This window comes from Homo sapiens, chromosome 9, assembly GCF_000001405.40.
Source record: "Homo sapiens chromosome 9, GRCh38.p14 Primary Assembly".
Taxonomy (NCBI): Eukaryota; Metazoa; Chordata; class Mammalia; order Primates; family Hominidae; genus Homo; species Homo sapiens.
Window position 1 is genome coordinate 39,876,612 of NC_000009.12, and position 18,882 is coordinate 39,895,493.

Consider the following 18,882-nt stretch of genomic DNA (forward strand, 5'->3'; position numbering starts at 1 on the left):
CGATGGCTCATGCATGTAATCCCAGCACTTTGGGAGGCCAAGGCAGGCAGATCACAAGGTCATGAGATCGAGACCATCCTGGCCAACATAGTGAAACCCGTCTCCAATAAAAAAAAAAAAAATACAAAAATTAGCTGGGCATGGTGGTGTGAACCGGTAGTCCCAACTACTCGGGAGGCTGAGACAGGAGAATCTCTAGAACCTGGGAGGCGGAGGTTGCGGTGAGCTGAGATTGCACCACTGCACTCAAGACTGGCAATAGAGGGAGACTCCATCTCAAAAAAAAAAAAAAAAAAAATACAATAGCAGAATTCCCAGAATGGAATTTATGTCACATTCTATGGATCGAGCAAGTTGCAAGGCAGCCAGATTCAAGGGGAAGGGAGCTATTCCTCACCTCTTGAGAAGCAATGTGTGTTGAGGAAGGGAAAGAATTGATGGTAGCTGTCTTTGACTTCTGCCATACAGAGCAAGGTCTCCACACTCCTTTCTCCTGTAATAATTTTCCATTTGAAAATTTTCCTTGCAATTCTCACACCTTTATTATTTCATATAAATTTTACAATCAATTTTTTTCTTGTCTAGATAACCATGCCATTTGGATTAAAATTGCATTACATTGCAACTTTTGAGAAACTATGGGAGGAGAATTGGCAACCTTATAATATTGAATTTGCTCATTAAGGAACATAGTTTCTCTGTTTATTTAGGTGTTATATTTTTCATAACATACATGTTGGTATTTCTACCCAGGCTTTTCTCTTTGTTTTGTCATGTAACCCATGAATGAGACTGCACTGTCTGTGTGATTGGGCAGTTGCCCAAAGTTTAAGGTGTTAACATGCATTAATTCACTTAATCACTCCTCATTTCCTCCTTCCCTCAACCCCTGACAACCATGAATCTGCCTTCTGTCTCTAGATTTGCCTATTCTGGACATTTTATATAGATGTGTCATCCAATATCTGGTCTTTTCTGACTGGCTTCTTTCACGTAGCAGGATTCTACGGTTTATTGAGGTTCATTCATTGTGTGGCCTGTATCAGTGCTTCATTCCTGTTTATGGCTGAATAATGTTCCACTGTATGTACATATGTATGTATACCACACTTTGTATATCCATTTATTTACTGGAGGATATCTGGGTTATTGACAGTATATTTCAGGAGTCCCCAAGATCATCCTCCCCCTTGATCTACTGCTCTTTGTATCTTATATGACCTGTGCAGAACTATTTATCTGGAAATTAGGTGATGGTTAACTAAATATAGTTCTTCTAAAGACTCATTTTCCGTTGGTATTACATCCTGAGGAGACTTTAACTCACTCTCCCAATACATTTGATCATCAATATCAGTATTACCACATGACTTATTTGCATGAGGTAATCAAATCTAACCAGCCATGCCAGTGTTACCCATATTGCATGTTGTGGTAGTAGATGCAGCCCCCCAAAATAAAAGTCAAAAGATGCTCGCACATTCCTGAGGTTCTTCTCAGCCACTAACAATTGGTGTAGTTCATCATCACCTGGAATGACCAAAATGTCTCCCATGGAAATGCGGCTCAGCTGTGTAGGCTTCCATTTAACTTTGTCAGGTTCCGAGGCAGGGCTGGCTTGAGTGGTCTTGTTTCCACTTTGGCTATGATGAATAATGCTGCTGTGAACATTCAGGTATACGTTTTTGTGTGGTTTCATTTCTTTTAAGTATATACCTTGGAGTGTAATTACTGGATCATATGATAACTCTGTTTTAATTTTTGAGAAACTACCAAAATGTTTTCCAAAACAGACAAGATTTTACATTCCCTCAGCATTGAATGAAGGTTCTTATCCAGTTTCCTGTTCTTGCTGACACTCCTTATTGTTTGTCTTTTGAATTTAGTTATCTCAGTGGGGTGAAGTGGTGTATCATTGTGTTTTGATTTGCATTTCCCTAATAATGAATGTTATTGAGCACCTTGTCACATGCTTATTGGCCATTTTTCATCTTTTTGAAGAAATGTCTATTCATCTTTTGCCCATTTTTAAATTGCGTTGTCTTTTTATTGAGTTGTAAGAGTGGTTATATCGTCTGGAACATGTGTTCCTTATCAGATATAAGACTTATAAGTTTTTGTCCCATTCTGTGGTTGTCCTTATTTTCTTATGTAACCTTTGTATTAGTCTGTTTTCATGCTGCTGATAAAGACATACCTGAGACTGGTCAATTTACAAAAGAAGGAGGTTTATTGGACTCACAGTTCCATGTGGCTGGGGAGACCACACAATCATGGCGAAAGATGAAAGGCAAGGAGGAGCAAGTCACGTCTTACATGGATGGCAGCAGGCAAAGTGAGAGCTTGTGCAGGGAAACTCTCATTTTTAAAACCATCAGATCTCGTGAGACTCATTCACTATCATGAGAACAGCACAGAGCAAAATGAATCAACAGTTGACAAATTAAGGATTAACTTATGCAAGATTTGACTGAGAATACTGAAGAAAACATTCTCGACATACTCGACATCATTAGTTATTAAAGAAATGCAAACGAAACGTATAATGAGCTGCCTCTTCAAACCTACTAGATTCAACAAATATTTATTATTTATTTGCTCTATGCCAGAAATGTGTCTTCATGCCAGGTTAAGAAAAAGAGAAAACAGAAAAAAAAATAGCTGTCCCTGACAGGAAGAGCTTACGTTCTTTCTTTTTGGGCGAGAAAGGCAGTGAAAAATTAAAAAAAGAAACGCAGTATTAACATGCGGATAAGTTCTAGGGTGAAATTTGAATGCAGATCCAGAGTGACTGTCTGCCTCTCAAAAGAATTCTGCTGAGATGTCTAGAATTAAGTAGAGTAGCAAGCAAATATCTACAGCGCATGTCTCTTTCAAAGACAGAAAAACAAAGTGGTTTTTAAGGTGGGTGAATCTTGGCATTTCCAAGAAATATCAGGAGGCTCTTAAGGATAGAATGACCAAAACAATGAGGGCTGTGATAAAATAAATTGGGGGAGGTATGGAGAAGGATCCCATATTGTTTCTTTCACAAACAATGACAAGGTTTTGGGTTTTACTTTGAGAAGGGGAACAATTAGAAAGCTATGAGCAAGACTGTGAAATTATTTGATTTATGTTTTATAATCATTCTGACTCCTGGCTGAAAAACAGCCTCTAGGAATGAAAGTGAGAGAAATAGGGTCATCATTTATGAAGCTATTCCAATGATCCAGTGCTTTGGCAGTTGCCTGGACATGGCTAGTAAGAGGTAAAAGTAATCTGATACATCTTAAAGGCAGGTGTTCATGGATTTGATATGGCAAATGAAAGAAAGAAACCACTATGTGTTATATTCCTTGAGCCAAAATTGAGGTGTAAAATAAACATGCTCACATAAATGGTTGATTATGTTCTTAAATGAAGGAGAAAATAGTTGCAGTGATGTTAAGTCATCAACCATTTAAAGTGTTGCTTTTGAAAGAGATGAATCAAGGAAGGGATGGACATGAATTTTCCTTACCTAAAAAGCTAGTGAAAATTAAGATTGACATGAACAGGATTAAAACTTTATTTTATAGTGGTACTGAGATGAAACATCACACTATCTGACTTCATAGCTTAAAAATATAATCACCCCACCAACTTCTCACTCTTTTCAAGGATTTTGTGAGTAACCAGCTTTAATTTGGAAAACCTAGACTTGTACATACAGATTGTTATGTTTGTGAGTATGATTATTTCTATCATTTTGTTTTACATTGTGCTTTATCATTCAATAATTAATATCTATCATTTTCCATTAACTAATTTATTTTATGACCATTTATTATTATTATTACCCTATGGTAGTCAATAATTACTGATACATATTCCATTGTTTTTTGGGATTTGATATAGAATCAGAGAAGTTTGTTGCCAACTCCTTTTTAGTTGAATATATATTGTTTTTGTCTTATATTTAGTTTTTGTAAAACTTCAGATTTTCCATCTTGCCCCACTATTTATTGCTAAAAATCATATCCAAATATGACAAGGTTTAGGAACACACACAGTTAATGAACACATGTTAAAGTATAATAACACAGAATACATTTTTGAAAGTAAGTTTATTAAAATTAGCAATATATTTCTAGTTATATGCATAAGGATATACCAACATGGATTTTGCCTGCCCAATATTAATTTTCTCTTAATTTCTTACTTACAGAACTTCAATTTGGTCAGGAGTCTAAGCCCCAAATTATGTTTGCTGTCATGTACTCATGACAGCTCTTTTTCTTGATTTTTCTAGCCTTTATCCATTTGGAAATGTGAACCACCTTTTATAGGTGAGATACAGTATAGCTGAACACTTCTCTAAAGGTTTCTGTAAAAAAGCATAAATGTACAAGCCTATCATCCCGATTCTATTTAGTTTGCCTTGAATATGAATGTGATAAGTGAAGTAAGATCTCACATCTTGCAACATGAAGTGGAAGAAGGGTCAACATAGAAGAAATGTCAGAAGAAATGAACCAATAGAAAATTCCTCATTTGCTAAATTTTGTTAAAAGAAAAAAATAGATTTTAATATTAATCTGATCTACACAGGCAAATGTTAACTGCAATGAAAATGTCTTTTAGATAATTCAGAACACTTTCCATCCTTGGTAAAAGTATTCATTTTACTGACTCACTATTATATATTTTGTTAAGTTAGAAACTCATATTCAATCAAAGGAAATAAAAGTTCCCCCTAATTTCTAGGAATATAAAAAAATAGGTACACATAGCTTAGATAATATTTTCTATATTTGTTCAAGTAAATCAGTTTAGTAATTGTTTGAAATACTTCCAATTGATATGAGTCCAATTTTAGAAGGAATTTTAGTTGGAAGTGTTATTCTCTTTATGAAGATGTAAATGGCTCTGTTTACTGGCCAATATTTACATACACATACAGTCAATGAATGTTAATTTGCACACAGTGGCATATATAATTCAAAGTTCATTTTATTAGTTAATTTAGATATGGTTCAATGAGAGTTTCAAACTGAGGGCATAGAGTCATATAACATACTCTAGAAGAACAACTCACAAAAACTAAAATAAATTGCTTTACCATGTTTGCCTTTGTATTTCACTTTTTCTGTTCTGAAGAATAAGCATGGTAAAATTTACATATATCTAATGCATATAATGGGCAATGTATGAATTATTTTACAAATTACTCATAACCAGAAGAGTTCTGTTGGATTTTACCATATGGCCAGATTCATCTTGCCTTTCAAACTTATGTAAGTAATTTTTCCAAATCTCTTTTTTTCCCATAACATACATGCTGCTGAGTCCACTCCTCCAAACTAAGTAAACATAGGAATGCTCATGGCCAAATCATAAGTATAGAAAGTGACTTTGGAACTGATGAAGACTTTCTTCTTGTCTACGCTTTAGTCAGGCTTCTAGGAACACTCTTTTTGACTCTACTTTGTCCTTGGGCCCTGTCTTTACACTGCCTAGTCCAGCTGTTGCAAGAATGCTGCTAAGTCAGTTTAGAGAGAATCTCCCACTCTTGATATCTGATCACTCTGGCTTGCCTTCAGCAAGAATCCTCTTACGTTAGCTAACAAGAAATCCCCTACCCTTGATGTCTCCTCTTAGTAATTTGTATTCATTGACAACCTTTCACTCTGCTCATTAGCTGCACTTCCCAGATATCTTTGCTGTGTTCAGAGTTGAACCTTATCTCTCTTGCCTATTAGAATCATCTTGACACCTATCATTTTAATCTTAAATAAAGTGATCCTTAACCATTTTAACAAGTGTTGGAAATTTTTTTATTTAGCAGAACTAACAAATTGTTTGCGAACTATTGAAATAGAACTATTCTATTATGGCCTGCAGATATTTTTCTCAATTATAATTCACTTTCATACTGTAAAAGTATCTTTGCTTTGTGTATATCTTTTTCATATAAAAACTTTTAATTTGGCAGGGAATAGTGGCTCATGCCTGTAATCCCAGAACTTTGGGAGGCCCAGATGAGTGGATCATGTAGGTCAGGAATTGAGACCAGCCTGGCCAACATGGCAAAACCCCATCTCTACTAAAAGTACAAAAATTATCCGGGCATGGTTGTGGGCACCTGTATTCTCAGGTACTTGGGAGACTGAGGCAGCAGAATCGCTTGAACCCAGGAAGCAGAGGTTGCAGTGAGCCAAGATCAGGCTGCTGCACTCTAGCCTGAGTGATAGAGTGAGTGAGACTCTGTCTCAAAAAACAAAAAACAAAAAAACCTTTCGATTTATTTTCCAGAGGTCTATTTTTAATTTAGTAACAAGATTTTTAAAAATATTTATAAAATTAAATAACAATAGAATGTTAGAACTAGGCCCTATAAAATATAAAATTGTCAAAATTGCTTAGCATGATTGTAGCTTCAAGGATCCTATTGTTAATGTGGCAACTTCTGAAACCAAACATCATCATGCTTAGCATCAAGAGCTAAAGTAGTCATGAGTTAATGGAGAAGAACAACTAAGGAATTGGCTGCCGAAGTAAAGTTTATGCTAAATTTAAATGAAATGAAATAACAAAGTAGTTTGAAATGAACATTCCATTGATTATTTTTAAAATTTTATTTATTAACAAAGTAGCTTATACTAACTGCCCACTGTCTATCCCAATAGTTACAGCAATAACATATAGTTAACATTTGTAATTAAATATTTCATTTCATACAAATAGTATTTTAAAATTCAAGTGTTGATTTTTAAGCCTTTGAATGTTTGGCTGTTTAAAATTTAAGTGCATATAAAAATTGTAGAAAAGGGTCATTATTAATAAAATATTCAAAATATGGTAAATTTTGCATGATGATTTAATATATGCAAATTGACAAGTGATGTGAATAGTACATTTGAATAGAGAAAATATGTACATAAATGAATGGTATTTCAGAATCTAAGCAAATTGATGACTACATTATGTACTTGTCCCCAATGTAAATGAAATATTAATTAGAAAACTTTTTTTTTTCACTAAAGGGCTGAACATAAAGTGTGATGGCAAATTGGTGTGTTCTTGTATTTCTTGTCTTTGGGGATTCTTTTCAGTATATTTTCACTTAATGTTTTAGCAACATTTTTCGTCATCCTTTTACACTTATAGCTGGACTATGCTTAGTGATAGAAAATAGTTATATAATGGGATTATACTTGGCCATATGAATTTGATGGTATGAGTTAATCTGTGTTTCACCTTACTTGTGTCTACTTGTAAATCATTGATGCTAATGTTATTAGTAATTTTTAGAGGGTAGAAATGTTTTCTATATGACATTTTTGAGAAAAGGAAGTCAATAAATCCCATTTGATATGCAACAGAAATAAAGATCTCTTATTTCAATTTTAAAATGCTTTATAACTTACATTGCTTTGTTTCATGCATTATTTGTTTTGATCAGATGCAAAATGAGTCAGTAATGTCATCTAACCACAAGTTTGATACATTTTTTAAAGAAAAATTTCCAAAATACTTTAACTGAGCAATAGGCTAATACTTCATAAATTAAAATATTTAAATATTCAATCTTTCTGAGTGGATATTTGTTGCATATCTGATAACTTGGCCTAATTCTGTAATTGGGATGAGAACTACCCAATTTTATTGGTAACCTCTTTTCTGCTCTGCAACTTTGGAAATACTATGGAGGACTCCAAATTCATTTGAGACAAAAATATTAAAAATGTATCCCCTGATTAGGATTTCAGTTCCAAAGCTCTCCTTGGAGGGATATAGAGCTGGAGAAAATCACATTTATTTTTCGTCTCTTTAATATTGATATATAAAAGTCAGGTTAAAATTAGTATCAAATTGGGAAGCCTGCATGGTAAACCGGCTGGAATAATACACTCTGCAATATGAAGGAAAAAGGAAAAATTTAGTTGATTTATTTACCTAACTATAATTTTTTAAAGAATTTTAAGTTTCTAATAAATTTAACTATAAATTTTTAATTTTCTATCTTTCATTTAGTACCATCTATATAAACTTTTCCAGGCTACTTCTCTGAATCACCTGGCAAAATCTTATAATTTACCACCTAATTGAATAAAACACACACACAAAATAATCTATTTTGAATAATAAACATCATTTATAATTATCTTGTTGAGATTGAGAGTAATCATCAGGTGTGGAAAAACTATTGAGGAAATTTTAACAATTTAAAATGTAATAATCTTTTTTGTATTATGTGTGTTTTATACTCAGAAGTGCATATGTTTTATAAAATTATGTGAATTTATAAATGTGGTCAATATTAATATTAAATTGTATCTTTTAATAGTATCTTCAATTATCTTTTTTTTTGCTGCTGGATTCCATTTAGAAAAAAAAAATGTTCTATATAGCAGTGTTGCTTTCTTTTTCTTTTCTTTTTGCTTTTCTTTCTTTTTTCTATTGATAAAGTATTTACTTGATCTTGGGGAAGAGGTATATAATCAAGTGACCACATTTTTCTTTGTTACATATTATTAAAAATTTATAATCAATCTTTCCAAATTGTAATCGGTCTGAAACCCATTTGCTTTACTCAAATTATTTAGTGACTGTAAAAGTTTCAGAAACATATGAAAGTTACAAATTAGCTTTAAATGTGTCATGTTTAAAGCAGTTGTTTTAAAAGCTAAGTCATTATCCATTATTATGTAACTAGTATTCTAAATATCACATCTTTGCATTGTTTGACTTTTAAGGCATATGAAATGTTTTGGATCAGAGAAATCATTTGCTTCACATCCCTAAGAGACAGACTCTATGGGTACTGAGTCATGCTAACAGTGGCAAAACCTGACAAACAATAAGCATCATTTTCAAATATTTTAAACATTTCACATAAAAATTTACTTTTAGCATACATTGCAGCCATCGAGGAAGCCTAAAGTAAGGAAAACCTCAGTGAAATATGATGAAGTTAATAAAAAGAAATAGCCATCATTTTATTTGTTTAAATTGCCATTATCTCTCATATAATTATGTACAATATATAACATAGGATAATTAAGTCAAACTGTGTACCTACAGATATGGAGAGCCTTATATTTTAGGAAAAAGTAAAATGTAAATTAACTGGTAAAGATGAGCTTTTCAATCTATAAGGCATAGACACTTTTCCTTGGTGGATTTGAAAAGGTTCTTAGAAATCTGAAAATAAGATAGTTTTTCTATAATAAATGGTAAAAAACACTTTCACATCTTAACCTTATCATAGTATCACAATGCTGGAATGTTTTTACTGGGAAATAAGTAAGCTAATTCAATTATAAATTGCAGTAGAGGAAAGGATGAAGGTTAAAAAACACTATCTATTCAAATCCTTAGTCATGAGGTTGAATTCATTGAATCAGAGTGTGAATATATATCTATATTTGAGACAGAATTTGTATGTATGTGTGTGAGTGTGAGTGTGTGTGTACAGTCATTAGACATTTGCCTCATGGACAGTGGAGGAAAACATTTGCTGAGCTGCTTTCCTACCTTAAAGATTTACAACTGCACTGTTTTCAAGATATACTTTTTATATCTCAAATAATGTAATATATTATGTTTAGTTGTTGATATAACAAGATATCTGAATACCCCATAATTGAAATTATACCTGGAAATAAATACTTGAAATACTTGCTTCAGTGACATTTGTGGAAGTATACTTATTTAAGTTCAAATTATAGGTATATTGAACAAAATGATATTGGATTCTTCACTGGCTGCATACTTCTGAAACTTGTAAATAATTTGAAATTAGTTTCCAAGAACAGAAAGACAAATATTAGATAGGAAATACCAAATTCTTAAGATTCATACATATAAAAGTGAAATAAAAATCAAACTTAATCTTATCATGAATTTTCTACTGTGGCTTAATTTTAGAACTTGTTATAAAAATAGAAATGCTATTAATTTAATTACATTTATTAAAATCTAAAAATAGGTGATTATAGCTAGGACATTGACAAGTGTAACTATACATGAGTAAATATAACTGAGGATAGCAACACATGAAATATATCATAAAATTGAATTATTCTATAAATAGTATTAAGTCTGTATTACTTGGAACTTGATTCCACTTAGAATGTCCCTGCTTTTATTTATTTATTTATTTTTGTAAACAAAATGAGCAAGAGGTTATTACACTTCATTCACTGCGAAAAGGTAACACTACATCAAAGATAACTCACATACTTGCAGAAATATGGAAGGTAGTTCTTTCTTTTTTTTGTTAAGAAATAGGGTCTCACTATGTTGCCCAGGTTGTAGTGCAGTGACTATTCAAAGGGGTCATCCCACTACTGATAAGCAGAGGAGTTTTATTCTGCTCAATTTTTGAGTTGACCACTCCTTAGGCAACCTGGTGGTCCTCTGCTCCCTGGAAGCTAACATATTGATGCCAAACTTAGTGCAGACACTTCCTCAGCATAGTGCATACAACCCAGAAATCCTGGGCTCAAGTGTTCCTCCCGCCTCAGCATCCTGAGTAGCTGGGACAACAGGTGTGTGTCACCTGGCTGAAAGGTATTTTTAAATACAAATGTTGTCCAGGAGTGACAGAAGCTGGAGAATTGGACTACTTGATGGAGGCTTTGTACAAGCTTTGAACAATAATAACAACAAAATTGAAATGCCAAAAATATTGTTTAGCAGTTAACCACCAATAAAAGGAAGCCAGCCATTTCACACAGAGGATTTTGTTAATTGATTGCGTGATTCAAGGAAATAATATTATTAGGTGTGTATTAGTCCATTATTGCATTGCTATAAAGAAATACCTGAGATTGGGTAATTTATAAAGAAAAGAGGTTTAACTGACTCACAGTTCTGCATGCTGTACAGAAAGAATGTTGCATCTGCTGGGCATGTGGGGAGGCCTCATGAAATGTATAACCATGGTGGGAAAATGAAGAGGGAGCCGGTGCTTCATATAGCTGGGAGCAGGAAGAAAAGTGAGAGGTGAGGAGGTGCTACACCCTTTTAACAACCAGATTTCATAATAACTCACTCACTCACTATCATAAGAATAGCACCAAGGAAATGGTATTAAACCATTAAAAAGAAACCACTCCACAATCCAATAACCTCCCATCAGGCCCCACCTCCAACACTGGGTATTTCAATTTGACATGAGATTTGGTTGGGGACATAGATCCAAACCATATTATTTTGCCCTAGTCCCTCCCAAATTTTGTCTTTCTCAGTTTGCAAAATATAATCATGCCTTCCCATCAGTCCCTCAAAGTCTTAACTCACTTCAGCATTAACTCAAACATCCAAAGTCTAAAGTCTTATCTGAGATGAGGCAAGCCCCTTCTGCCTAAGACCCTGTAAAATAAAAAAAAAAAACAAAAACTCCCAAGATATAATGTATAATGGGGGTACAGGGATTGGGTAAATACTCCCATTTCAAAAGGGAGAAATTGGCCAAAAGTAAGGGGCTACGGGCCGCATGCAAGTCTGAAACCCAGTAGGAAAGTTATTAAGTCTTAAAGCTTAACAATCTCCTTTGACGCCATCCAGGGCATACCACTGCAAGGGGTGAGCTCCCAAAGCCTTGTGCTGCTCCACTCCTGTGACTTTGCAGGGTTCAGCTCCTACAGCTGCTCTCAAGGGCTGGTGTTGAGTGCTTGCACCATTTCCAGGCACACGGTACAAGTGCTGGTGGATCTACCATTCTGGGGTCTGGAAGATAGTGTCCCTCTTCTCATAGTTCCCCTAGATAGTGGTCCAGTAGGGACACTGTGTGGTGGCTCCAACCCCACCTTTCCCCTCTTCAGTGCCCTCGTAGAGATTCTCCATCAGGGCTCTGACCCTGCAGCAGATTTCTGACTGTACATCTAGGTTTCTTCATACATTCTCTGAAATCTAGCCTCAACTCTTGTACTCTGTGCACCCTCAGGCTTAATGCCACATGGAAGCCATCAAGACTTATGGCTTGAACCCTCTGGAGCAGCATCCTGAGCTGTACCTGGGCCACTTGGAGCCATGGCTAGAGCTGCAACAGATGAGATGCATGTAGTAGTGTCCCATTCTTCCTTCGTTGTCCTCTGAGCCTGTGATGGGAGGAGCTGCCACAAAGGTCTCTGAAATGCCCTGGAGGGTATCCCTCATTTTCTTGGCTATCAGCATGTGCCTTCCTTTTAGTTAAGCAAGTTTCTGCAGCTTGCTTGAATTTCTCTCCTGAAAATGGGCTTTTTGTTCTACCACATGGCCAGGCTGCAAATTTTTCAAGTTTCTACACTCTGCTTCCCTTCTAAATATAAGTTTCAGTTTGAGGTCATTTCTTTGCTCACACACATCAAAATAGTTTGTCAGAAGTAGTGAGCTTACCTCCTGAATGCTTTGCTGCTTAGAAATTTTTTCCACCAGATACCCACCAGAACTTGAGATACTCTCAAGTTCAAAATTCCACAGATCCCTAGGGCAGGCCCACAGTGCAGCCAACCTTTTTGCTAATGCCTAACTAAAGTGACCTTTGCTCCAGTTCCCATTAAGTTCCTTATCTCCATCTGAGACCTCCTCAGCCTGGACTTCATTGTGAGTCTCTATCAGTAGCTTGGTCACAACAATGTAACAAGACTCTAGTAAGTTCAAAACTTGCCCTCATCTTCCTGTCTTCTTCTGATCTCTCCAAACCCTTCCAATCTCTGCCCACTATCCAGTTTCAAAGCCACTTTCACATTTTCCGGTATGTTTACAACAATATCATATTCCTCTACCAATTTTCTATATTAGTCCTTTCTTACATTGCTCTAAAGAAATACCTGAGACTGGGTAATTTATAAAGAAAAGCAGTTTAATTGGCTCATGGTTCTGCACGTTATACAGAAAGCATGATGCATCTGCTGGGCTTCTGCGGGGGCCTCAGTAAGCTAACAATCATGGCAGAAGGTGAAGGGGGAGCCAGCACTTCACATGGCTGGAAGCAGGAAGAAGAGTGAGAGGTGGGGAGGTGCTATACACTTTTAACAACCAGACTCACAATAACTCACTCACTGTCACAAGAACAGCACCAAGGAGATGGTGCTAAACCATTTAAGAGAAACCGCCCGATGATCCAATTGCCTCCCAACAGGCCCCACCTCCAACAGTGGGACTTACAGTTTGACATGAGATTTGGGTGGGGACACAGATCCAAATGATATCAATGTGTTAAAAGGAAAAGGAGATAGCAGTGGGAAATGGATATTTAACTTCAGTTTATGAGTTTTTATTTTAGAGTTCTAAAATTATGTCTTATACTGCCTATACAAGTGCTAGAATAGTTTCTGTATTAAGTGGTAGATATTAATATCCAAATATCATACTTACCTTCTTTGACCTTGCAGTTTAAGACGGCATTTTAAGAAAGTAAACAAACACATTGATTTTTTTTTAAAGGAGACATTTTTCAGTAAAGGATATAAGTATGTTAACATGAGAGATATAGAAAAATTACAGATGGACAGACAATCCTACATAGAAACCTAAGGAAGCATTTAACTCAGACACAGAGATTGAGAAGAGTAAAGTGGGTGAAATCTGGGAAAGAATGCTTCCAGTAGAAGAAACAGAATATTGAAGGAACAGAGATTGATGTCAAGAGTTCAGGGAAACAAACCAGAATAAGAATGTTTAGACAAAAGGCTGATGGTAGAAGGATATTGAGACTGAAAGTTATAGAGAGCACAGGCTTACTCGAAAATTAGTAGACAAAAGAACATCTGTAAGTTCAATCATGAAGGAGTGCCAGAATTAAAGAGAAAATAAGGAAATAATAAAGGGAATCTTTTGATGTGAGGAACCAATTGGGCTACCAACTCAGCCTGCCAGCCTGCCATTCCAGTGACAGTAGGAAATAAATGTTCTGTAAGTTATTTGGAAATTAGAGGACAAAGTAATTGTTTGTTCTATAGGTAGAGAAACATTTTTGTAAATGATAATACAGCTGTTCTACCGATTTCTCTTAATTTTCAAAATTTTTGAAGGGGTACACTATATTTTCATGATTTGTTCATTCTGATTTCCAACTCATATTTGTTCATCATTTTCTCTTTAAATTTTAAAAAGTTGAAAGACATTCATATCACAAAATTTTCACAGGATAATTTTTCTAGTTGCAACTGTAGATTTATGTGGATATATACAAATCTCTCTAGTGACACATCTAAAGATTAATGTTATGTTCTGTTCCATAGGGAGCAAATATACCACATGAAACATCGCAACTATGAATCCAACTAGACTGTATGGGAAACATATATTGAAAAATAAATTAAAATTATAAGTTCTATGAGAAAACACAAACATTTGAGTAAAAAAATGAGAAAGGTTTAGTGGTGACTTCTTCCCATGTTAGAAAAAAGGATTCATAATGAACAACTTTTTTTTTCATGTATTTCCTACAATTGAGTAAAATAATAGGACTAGGTAAGTTTACTGGTTTGCATTTTTTCATCTGGGTCTGGTTTTCCATTTCAATTGTTAGCCATTGTATTAACTACTTTCACCATTCAAAGGAATGAATGATCTGCCATAGTATTTTCTGCAGTTCCATCTCTTGTTTTCAGTATCATTCCAATTCTGCATCTATCTAATTTTGATCTCTGTTCTATTTATTTTCCTGATTCATAACATTTTGCTTTGTGCTGAGCACCTAATTGTCTCTCTGTCATTCTCAACATTTTAGCCCTATGGTCTAAAAGATGCCCAAAAGAATGTAGCATATTCTAGTATATCAGTGGGACAACATAAACAACTTGCTTAATTGTTAATCTATTTAAAAATGAAACAGTGTTTTTCATTTTTTCAATCAATTTAATGCTGACTAGATCCTATAACTACATTCTACTTTTTATAACTAAAGAACTCCAGAAAAATAAATGTAATAGCTTTGCTGGAAAAGATTAACCTTACAATGCCTTCCTAATGCCCTTACTTTTTTTTTTTTTGAAAAGTGTTTTCTGGTACACAAAAATAATATTCTGAAATATCTCTCTGATATTTGATTGCCGGATTTAACCTACATACCTCTGAACCTTGGTTTTTCAGACATGCAAACTGCTTAACAAGTTCCAATGCATTAATCAATGCACCATTGCATAACTTACAGTAAGAAAAGTTGGTAGATATTTCAGCAATGCCATAAAATATGCTTCCATTTAACACTTTGAGACAACCAATACACTATTTATATTATTGAGACAAAACAAACCTAAGATCACAGAAAAATATTTATTTTAATAGAATGGTATTTAAGTAGATAGTTTTTTTGTTGTGTTTTTGTTTGTTTGTTTGTTTGTTTGTTTTTGAGATGGAGTCTCCCTCTGTCACCCAGGTTGGAGTTCAGTGGCCCAGTCTTGGCTCACTGTAACCTCCCCTTCCCAAGTTCAAGCAGTTCTCCCTGCCTCAGCCTCCTGAGTAGCTGAAATTACAGGCATGCACCACCACACCTGTTTAATTTTTGTGTTTTTAGTAAAGATGGGATGTCACTATGTTGGCCAGGCTCGTCTTGAAATCCTGACTCCTGACCTCAGGTGATCTGCCCACCTTGGCCTCCCAAAGTGTAAGTAGATAGTCTAAATGATTATGGGTTTCAATAGGTTTTGTTAATTTGTTTTAGTTGACATACAAGAGCACTACAAAACCACATTATTTTATTTTAATTTTTATCAGTAAACTTCATTATATTAAAGGCCATATTGCCCACTGAATATGATTTTGATAAGCACAACTTCTATAATTTACAACTTACTGTATATGGTCTAATATAAATTACATTTAGCTATCTTGAATAAAAGATATGAATCCCCAAAAACTTAATATATAAAATAATTTCTACAATCAATTAAGCCACATGGGGCCTGGTGTGCAAGGGCTGCAAACAGCATCATCCTAGGTAGTGTACAGCAGCCTGTTCCTTGCGTACAACAGCCTTTGCCATTGGACATTTATGTCTTGGATCTAGTGCTTTCCCTAGTCTAGGTTTAAGACCGGATGTAGTATGCCTTTGGAAAGCCTCAGGACCCAGAGGTCAGAGTTCACATTGGCCATGTTCATCCATACCAAGCTGCAAACCCTGGAGCATGTGACTGAGGCCTTATTTAGGGCCAAATTCAAGTTCAGTGAATGCCCAAAAAGCCACATCTCAAAGAAGTGCGATTTTACTAAGTTTAATGCATATACATTTTAAGACTTGGTGGCTGAGAAACAACTCATCCTGGATGGCTGTGGGGCCAAATATAGCCCTGGAATCATGGGCCCCTGGACAAGCAGCTAGCCCTGCATTAGAAAAGAGCTGCCCCCTCTTTACGCATGCCCACCAGTGAATTCTATTTCCTGTACATCTAATAAATCAATCTATCTATCTATCTATCTATCTATCTATCTATCTATCTATCTAAATAATTCAATAATATGCAGTAGATTAAAAAAATAAACACAACTTGATGTCTAACTACTGTGGATATATTTTGTCATTTATTAACATTCCCCTTTCAGGTTAATATCAAGTCAACAAAAATTTGGAGTTCTCTTGACCCTTTCCCCAATGTGTAAATTAGTAATATAATGTCAATATTCAGACAGGCAAATAAACTAAGCTCCCTTTGATGAAAACGACATGCAGTAACGCTTCCCTACTGAGAATCATCTTAGTTTGTGAAATCATAATCTGGAATGGCTATATCTGCAAAATACATTAAAAGAAAGAAAATATGAAAAACATAATCTACAATACTTTTATGTATATCTAATCATTTTATATTTCTTTTTTATTATACTACTTGAAATACATACATAAAGGATAAAGAGTTTCAACAAATCTCAAAAAGGAAACCTAATTATGTATAATATTCTGACTGATTTTGTTTGCTTACCAAATTGAAATTGAAAAGAAAAAATACAGCACTCTATAAAAAAATAAAATGATTTCAAAATATAATTATTTTCTCCCTTTGAAAATATAAATGTTTAAATAATGGTGAAATAGAGAACATAAACATTCACAAATATTACATATCCATTCAACATTTTCAGGTATTATTTTGTTTTGTTCAAACCTCCCCTTCTGTCATTTTTCTCTCCTTTCTTTATCTTTAGCATAACTGAGCTGCTTTCCAAACATCTATAGTTATACCGGACATAGCATTTTCCAACATCAAACATGGTTTTTCTTAAACACCAGTTCCAAATATTAATTCCCAGGGAAAATGACATTTTCCATATGTGAGAAATATTGGAACCAATATAACAAAACTCATTAACATTTATAACATTTGAAAATAATTTCACAAAAGTTTTATTTAAAAAATTTTATTGTAAATTTATGTAAGAAATTCTCTATCCATTACATGACTTGTATAACATCCACAGTATACTAAGAAAATATTTTTAAAATATAGGATAAGGTGTCTAAATAATAAATTTTTAAGACTGCTTAGAGCCACTATTAAAAATCTGAGAATAAGGCATGAATTTTTTTTTTTTTTTTTTTTTTGAGACGGAGTCTCGCTCTGTCGCCCAGGCTGGGGTGCAGTGGCGCGACCTCAGCTCACTGCAAGCTCCGCCTCCCGGGTTCACGCCATTCTCCTGCCTCAGCCTCCCGAGTAGCCGGGACCACAGGCGCCCGCCACCACGCCCGGCTAATTTTTTGTATTTTTAGTAGAGGCGGGGTTTCACCGCGTTAGCCAGGATGGTCTCGATCTCCTGACCTCATGATCCGCCCGCCTCTGCCTCCCAAAGTGCTGGGATTACAGGCGTGAGCCACCGCGCCCGGCCGAATATTTTTTGATCTATAGAGATTATATATCGGCATGCTGGCATTGGCTTTTATTACAGAATAAGCATTTTAATCTTCATTCACTCTCATCAATTCATTATAGAAACCAGCTTAAAAAAAAAGACCACCACTTGTAGAAAACAGTTAATATTTCGATGGTTTACCTGGAAGTTTACTGGGCATAAATTTATAAAATACATTTATGGATGGAAATAAACTGTTTTACTAAACAATATTACAGAATTCTGAATAGATGCTGATTAAGCAGCAAATCAACAAAACTGTTTATTTACCAGTTTGGTGGCTATTATGCTAATTAGATCATCTGTTTAAAATGTGTCCATATGGACAATTTTTCTGTAAATGTTTTCTTTATCTCCACATTGTGTGGTAGTATTTTCATAGAACCAAGTAGAAATTAACTTAAAAATTAGTTATTTAAAGATGACAATAGAAGGTTTTGAACTTTGAGTTCCAAAAGGCAAGCAAATATTTCTGAAATAAAATATATTATATATATTTAATTTCTAATTTAATTTACATATAAAATATTTTTAAAATTCATGTGAATTTGAGATATTTTCACATTGATTGGACTGTTTTTGTACCTCATTTTGCTTGGTCACACTAAAGTGAGATTCATCATCTTGTGGCACCAAAGGAAAACTAGTGTGATTATAAGGAAATTATTACAGTTAGACAACTGTGCATTAATTTCATCATTAAGGACCAAACATGTATACAGATATAAATACTTTTCTCAATACATTACTTGCAACATATGCACAATTATGTAACAATTATGGTGAACTAAGTCTCCTAGAAATTTCCAAAATATTTTTTTTGCCTTTTTTTAACCTCTAAATCCATATAAATCAAGGGAAAATATTCTTGCACATATGTATATTTAAACATGAACCTAACCAAAAGTAAGAGAAATTTGAAAAAGTATAACATATCAAAATGTGGAAATTTCTGTGTTTAGGGAAAAATCTATCCCATTAAGAGCTTGCATTAGAAAAGAAAAATTACCTTGAAATTATGATGAAAGCTTCCAACTTGTTATTATAAAAATGAGAACAAATTAATTCTGAAGCAATCAGAAA

The 18,882-nt window shown here is 34.4% G+C and overlaps 2 pseudogenes; one reads left to right on the plus strand and one right to left on the minus strand.

The window, feature by feature from the left end:
* RN7SL763P (RNA, 7SL, cytoplasmic 763, pseudogene) lies at positions 10,250-10,533 on the minus strand (annotated as a pseudogene).
* On the plus strand, positions 15,835-15,929 carry LOC124900278 (uncharacterized; annotated as a pseudogene).
* Positions 15,930-18,882: the final 2,953 nt, after the last annotated feature.